Here is a 7256-nt window from a genome sequence, read left to right on the forward strand (position 1 = left end):
ACCATTCAGGGGCTCCGCAGCTTCATCTGTGTAAAGAGAGTTACTACACGTTTCTCCTGGTCCCAGCTCAAGCACTCTAGGGTTCTACGTAGGCACATAAATAGGGTTCCAAAGAGCGACGCCAACTGCATAAGGCATAAGTCCACTGACAGCCGATGCCTGCCAGACCCCCACCCACAAAACCTAGTAGAAAAGTCACCCTCCAGAATGTGGCCAACCAACAAGGGCCAGGAACAGGAGCTGCTGGGACCAGAAGGGACTTGTGAGCCCTGAGCCTCTGCAGGGTAAGGTGCTGTGCTAACTCTGGGGCTAGAAGACTTTCCCAAGGGTTTCCAGCAGGGCTGGAGCCCACAGGCATCTCTTCACCTTTCCCGACCCCGAGCTGTCCCAGAATTCTTCTTCTTCTTTTTTTTTTTTTTTTTTTTTGAGACGGAGTTTCACTCTGTCGCCCAGGCTGGAATGCAGTGGCGTGATCTCAGCTCACTGCAACCTCCGCCTCCCGGGTTCAAGAGATTCTCCTGCCTCAGCCTCCCAAGTAGCTGGTACTACAGGTGGGCACCACCACACCCGGCTATTTTTTTTTTTTTTTGTATTTTTAGTAAAGACGGGGTTTCACCATGTTGGCCAGGATGATCTCGATCTCCTGACCTCATGATCCGCCCCCCTTGGCTTCCCAAAGTGCTGGGATTACAGGCGTGAGCCACCGTACCCAGCCTGTCACAGAATTCTTTACTGCGGCAGCCTCTGATGGGCTGGATCCTCCGCCTCTCTACTCATTGGAGTAAGAGACAAGTCAGCCCTTTCCAATCTGCCTCCTGAGGGGAACCATGGGGCCCTCGGGACATGCGGCCCCTCCTCAGGCTGGCTCGGGGCATCTGCACCCCTGTACCTGAGCAAGGGACTTGCTTGAAACGGCGGCCACCCTGGGCTGGGGACCAAGCACGCTCAGGGGAAAACCCAAAAAGGCTACTGTGTCTCACTGGCTCTATGATACGCAAATGAGGAGGGAAGCGAAACGTTCGTTCTTCTAAGAGGGTAACTGCAAAGGAAGTCTGGGCCGCTGCGTTTTCGGGAACAGCAGGTGCGGTGGCCGATGGATAACTCGGGCTGGGCTGGAGCGGCCCCTGGTGGCAGTTCGGTGAAGAGGCACCCGGAACCTGGCAACGTGGCCCGCGCGGGGCGCACGCATATCAGGAAGACACAGAGGCCTTTTTACTGAAAATGCCAGCGGGTGCGGATTCCACAGGCTCCTCTTCAGCATCAGTCTAGTGTGGGATTCATACACCTTGAGCCTCTTTCAAGGTGAAACAGAGAATCTCACTGAAAACTTTAAATCCCACTGTAAATTCCAAAATTAGACCTGCGCCGCGAAGACCGCCCACCAGCAAAATGCCAAGCGTATTTCTTTAAAAACTGGAAAGCCGTGTTTCGCTGCTCTTCCTGTAGACAATACAGCATGGGGGCAGGAGTGGGGTCTGGAGTCGGACGCACGTTCAGAGGCTGGGGTCACTTCTCCCAAACCGTGTGCAGTCGGACGCACGTTCAGAAGCTGGGGCCGCCACTCCCAAACTGTGTGCTCTAGGTCCAGCTTTTGCACCCCTCCTAGCCTCAGTTTCCCCATCTGTAAAGTGGGGATGATCCTTGAACCCCCACCATAGGACTGCTGTTACGATTAAGTCACATGGGAAATACGAAGTCCTTAGCACAACGCTTGACATAAAGGAAGCACTCTAAAACAAACAAACAAACAAACAAAAAACAACGAACTGGAAGCCACTGAAGCCTTCATGGGGTGAAACAGCTGATTAAGGGGCAAAGGCTCTCGCTGGCCAGGTTCTGGCGTGTCCCGGGCACCACGCATCCTGTCCATGAGCTCACGTCGTTGTCGTGATGGAGAAGGCTTGGTGCATACCAGAGTGCGGCGGAGGAGCTGGCCTTCACTGGGCACCTGCTACCTGCTGGGCATTGCGAGGTAACTTTATGTTCCTCCCAGGATGAACTCCTCACAATGGCCCTACAGAGCAGGTCCTGTGAGTCCAACTTTGAGATGAGGAAATTGAGACGCAGAGAGGTTCGGTCACCTGCCCCATTTTAGCCGGCAACCTCACCCAGGTCTGACGGTCCAGGCCCTCAGCTTTTGTAGTAGGGTTCAGGCCAAACTCTGCTACTTGCCTTGCCAGTAAAGTTAGGGACCCAATTTAAGGCTGCAGACCTGGATAAAATAATCTCAAAGTGACTTCTTTTTTTTTTAGGTGGAGTCTCACTCTGTCACCCAGGCTGGAGTGCGGTAGGGTGCTCTCGGCTCACTGCAACCTCTGCCTCCCAGGTTCCAGTGATTCTCCTGCCTCAGCCTCCTGAGTTGCTGGGACTACAGACAAGTGTTACCACACCCCACTAAATTTTGTTTTTGTTTTTGTTTCTTTGAGATGGAGCCTTGCTCTGTCACCTGGGCTGGAGTGCAATGGCCAGATCTTGGCTCACTGCAACCTCCACCTCCTGAGCTCAAGCGATTCTCTCACCTCTGCTTCCCGAGTAGCTGGGATTATAAGCACCCACCAGCATGCCCAGCTAATTTTTGTATTTTTAGTAGAGGCAGGGTTTCACCATGTTGGCCAGGCTGGCCTTGAACTCTTGACCTCAGGGGATCTGCTGCTTCAGCCTCCCAAAATGCTGGGATTACAAGCATAAGCCACTGTGCCAAGCCTAAAGTGACTTTTCGTAATGACAATACAATGTCAGGATATTCTCCTTAATCAAAAAAAAAAAAAAAAAGGCAAGCCCAATTCACGAAAAGGGGTCTTTAAGCTGCCAGCCCCCATCCCCCAGACTCTGCTATCGGCAGGGCTGGTCCACCGGGCAGCACTGGCCACTGTTGCCTCAGCGTTCTGTGCAAGCAGGTGCGTCAGAACCGGCTCATGGAGATATAATTGAACGATTGCCTCAGCGCGTGCCAGACTCTCCAAACATAATAACAGATGACGTTTGGGGTCGGCTCCAGGCGGTGACGTGCTGGCCCCAGAGAATATTGTCTCTGCTATTACAACAGATGCTGTTAATAGCTATCTATTTGTAGTTCGGGGCTTTTACCAAGATGAGCAGGCTTTTGGCAGGCACGGGTTGTTTGAAGGCTTAAAATTAGTACAAGAGAAGTTTGAGATGTTCTAATTACTGGAAATTTCAAATAACACGATGCCGCAAGGGACCGGTCTGCTTCCGGTGCCACTCTCGGGGGTAATGCACGTTCCCAAGCTGTAAATGGGGAAGGCTGAGGGCTTCTGTGTGCCACCTCCCCAGGCAGGCAGGGGCCGCAGCCACTGCAAGCCCCTGCCCACAGAACTCGGCGATGACGGAACCTAGACTGCTCCCTGGAAGTTAGCCTCTGAGACCATCACATATTGGCACTGGTTTGAAAGCCAGGCAAATGTGGGCTCCAATCCTGGCTTCACACGGTGGGGCTTTGCAAGTTGTTTTATAGGTCTGTGGCCCAGACTAGACATTTGTAAAAGGATAATGATGCCTATGGCAAGGATTGAGTACTGTGATGCTTACAAAGTACCTCCCTAACAGTCCCTGGCATGCAGTGAGAGCTCAAATAATGGTAGCCACTTACTATTATTATGACTGGTGTTATTGTTATTATTAAAATTACTGTCATCGCCCAGGCACGGTGGCTCACACCTGTAATCCCAGCACTTTGGGAGGCTGAGGCGGGCAGATCACTTGAGGTCAGACGTTTGAGACCAGCCTGGGCAACATGGTGAAACCCGGTCTCTACTAAAAATACAAAAATTAGCCGGGGGTGGTGGCACGCGACTGTAGTCCCAACTACTTGGGAGGCGGAGGTGAGAGAATCGCTTGAAGCCGGGAGGTGTGGAGGTTGCGTCACTGCACTCCAGCCTGGGCGACAGAGGGAGACTCCATCTCAATAAATAAATAAACAATAAAATAAAATAAAATTGCTATCATCACTGGCATCGTCATCATCTCACTACAGCAGAGATCCGCAGTTCCCCGAAACAAATACCACGAGTCTCAAGGTAAGACCTGCACGTAAGGATGTCGAAAGATAAATATGTCTTAAGAACATGTCCATGAGAAGGGGCTTTGCCAGCCATGCAAGCATAAAAGAAGAAAAGTCCCTCATTCATCCAAAAACACCCGCTGAGTTTCTCCCGCGTGCCGGGCACCACGCTCAGTACGGGGGACAGAGGGAGGAGGCTCTAGGCTCTGACTTGCCCTTGCAGAGCTTGGAATCCAGGAGTGTCAGACGGTGGTAGAGATAAAAAGCTGTGTGTCTGAGAGGTGAGGGCGTGGGCTTTGGGGCCCTAAACTTGCTTGGGACGCCCGGGAGGGCCCCCGTGGAAGCGGCGTTTCAGTGGAGCCCTGAAGATGGGTTTCTATTTGTCAGGTGAAGATAATGGCAGCTCCAGGCAGAAAGGGACGACCAGCGGAAAGGACCCTGGTGAGAGCAGCCACCACGACGGAACAGGCAGAAGCACCAGCTGGCAAAGGCACTGTCAGGGGCAGCGGGAGATGGGATTGGAAGGGCAACAGGGTTGGCGCCCGTGGTGGCAAAAGGAAGGGGGGCCTTCGCCAACAAACCCCAACAGGGTTTTTTTTTTTTTTTTTTTTTTTTGAGACAGAGTCTTGCTCTGTCACCCAGGCTGGATGCAGTGGTACAATCTTGGCTCACTGCAGCCTCTGCCTCCTAGGTTCAAGCTATTCTCCTGCCTCAGCCTCCTGTAGCTGGGATTACAGGCACGCACCACCACAACTGGCTAATTTTTGTATATTTAGTAGAGACAGGGTTTCACCATGTTGGCCAGTCTGGTCTCAAACTCCTGACCTCAGGTGATCCACCTGCCTCGGCCTCCCAAAGTGCTGGAATTATAGGCGTGAGCCACCACAACCTGGGGAGGTCAATGCTGCAGTGAGCTGTGACGCAGCACTGTAGTCCAGCCTGGGTGACACAGTGAGATCTTGTCTCAAAAAAAAAAGTATTCAGCAAAATATATATTTGAAATAAATTTCATACCTACGAGTAAGTTTTCTAATATCCAATTATTATTTTACTGTTAACATGCTCAGAACTGTATAGCTCAGGGGTATGATTCTTCCCACTGACATTTTCAAAAGATGGTTTATGATTCCTTGATACAGTTACAGAAATGTTGGTTCTGCAGGGAAGATTATTTTACTACATTTTATAGATTTATTTATTTAATAGTGACCCAAAGATATACTATCCAGCAGCCAGTGAATGTAATGGTTAAGTTTGTTGTTAATGGAGATCTATAACTGGGGTAATTAATTGGGCAAGAAAACCAACATATGATCTCTTCTAGTTATCTGGGATAAGGTACTTCATGTAGTAAAGTTAGAAATGGGTTGTCTTAATTGTTTTATACATCCAACTCATATTAAAATTTGTGCCTGGGTGCAGTGGCTCATGCCTGTAATTCCAGCACTTTGGGAGGCCTAGGCGGGCAGATGACTTGAGCCCAGGAGTTTGAGACCAGCCTGGGCAACATGGTGAGACCCCATCTCTACAAAAATACAAAAATTAGCCAGGTGCAGTGGCGCCCGCCTGTAGTCCCAGCTACTCAGGAGGCTGAGGCTGGAAAATCACGAGCCCAGGAAGCAGAGGTTGCGATGAGTCAAGATCATGTCACTGTGCCCAGGCTGGGTGACAGTGAGACCTTGTCTCAAAAAAAAAAAAAAAAAAAAAAAACTTGCAACACAAGTCCACATTTTGCACAAAGAAGAAACAATGACAATGAAGTTCTAGTATATGAAAGGAAAAGGGCTATTCCTTCCACTCAGCCCACTAAGCATGCTTGCATTCTTTCTTCAGCAAACATTTTTGAGTGCCTACTGGTATTAGCACTGAGCTGGGAACTGGGATACAAAGAGTCCTAATATATATATATATATATATATATTTTAAGAGACTTGCGGTATTGCCCAGGCTGGGATGCACTGGCATGACATGATCATACCTCACTGCAGTCTCTTGGGCTCAAGCGATCCTCCCACTTCAGTCTCCCAGGTAGCTAGGACACGGGTGCATACCACCATGCCTGGCTAATTTTTTTTTTTTTTTCAGATGGAGTCTCACTCTGTCACTCAGGCTGGAGTGCAGTGGCGTGACCTTGGCTCACTGCAACCTCCACCTCCTGGGTTCAAGAAATTCTCCTGCCTCAGCCTCCTGAGTAGCTGGGATTACAGGTGTGTGCCACCACGCCCAGCTAATTTTTGTATTTTTTGTAGAGACAGGATCTCACCATGTTGCCCAGGCTGGTCTTGAACTCCTGGGCTCAAGTCATCCACCAGCCTCAGCCTCCCAAAGTGCTGGGATTATAGGCATGAGGCACCCCACCCAGCTCTTAAAACTAATTTTAAAACTGCTTTTTGAAAACAAGTGCTTTCCATATTTACTAAAGCAACAACCTGGAAATTCTCAGGCAAGAACTGGCTCCTGCTTGTTTAATGACCTCTTTTCATATTAGGACTAAATTGGTGGTTTTATGCCATGTTAAAGATTAGGCTACTTAGGGAGAAACGAGCTAATCTTATGTATTATACTTGGGGCTGGTGGACTTTGTTCTTTCAAAGTATCAATTCTGTATCATACTCTTGATTCTGCTGTAGCTCTGAAATGCTCCATTGTAAGTTTCTTATTCTTTTTCTTTGTTTGTTTTTTCTTTTTAAAGGCATGGCCTCACTGTGTTGCCCAGGCTAGAGTGCAGTGTCAGATCATAGCTCACTGCAGCCATGACTTCCGGGGCTCAAGCAATCCTCTCCTCTCAGCCTACTGAGTAGCTGGGACTATGGGAACATGCCACCATTTCCAGCTAATTATTATTATTATTATTTTTTGGTAGAGACAGGTCTCACTATGTTGCCCAGGCTGGTCTGAAACTCGTGGGTTTAAGCAATCCTCCCTCCTTGGCCTCCCAAAGTGTTGGGATTGTAGGCGTGAACCACTATGCCCAGCTGTAAATTTTTGTATTAATGTTTTTCCATATTATTGACCTATAAAGCCATTGAAGCATAGTGCCTTGAAAGGAAAGCAAAAAAGTAAAAATAATAATAATTTAAAAAACCCTCCTCTGAATTGCTCATGTAGCCTACTATTGGGTCAACTAGAAGAGTGAGAAATAGCCAGCAGTTAGAACATTCCACATATTCTGAGTGTCAAATTTTATTACTTTGGTGAGACATGACTTCCCGCTTTCAGCACTATGGGTTTTTTG

At 49.0% G+C, this 7256-nt stretch overlaps 1 annotated feature.

Annotated features, from left to right (window-relative positions):
- Nucleotides 400-1210: an enhancer, noted in NCBI's record as "H3K4me1 hESC enhancer chr16:21565604-21566414 (GRCh37/hg19 assembly coordinates)". NCBI's record gives its function as "activates a minimal SCP1, AML or CMV promoter by ChIP-STARR-seq in naive H9 embryonic stem cells {active_cell/tissue: H9 hESC(naive)}" and the evidence as "EXISTENCE:reporter gene assay evidence [ECO:0000049][PMID:30033119]".

The sequence above is a fragment of the Homo sapiens genome, chromosome 16 (assembly GCF_000001405.40).
Source record: "Homo sapiens chromosome 16, GRCh38.p14 Primary Assembly".
Lineage (NCBI taxonomy): Eukaryota > Metazoa > Chordata > Mammalia > Primates > Hominidae > Homo > Homo sapiens.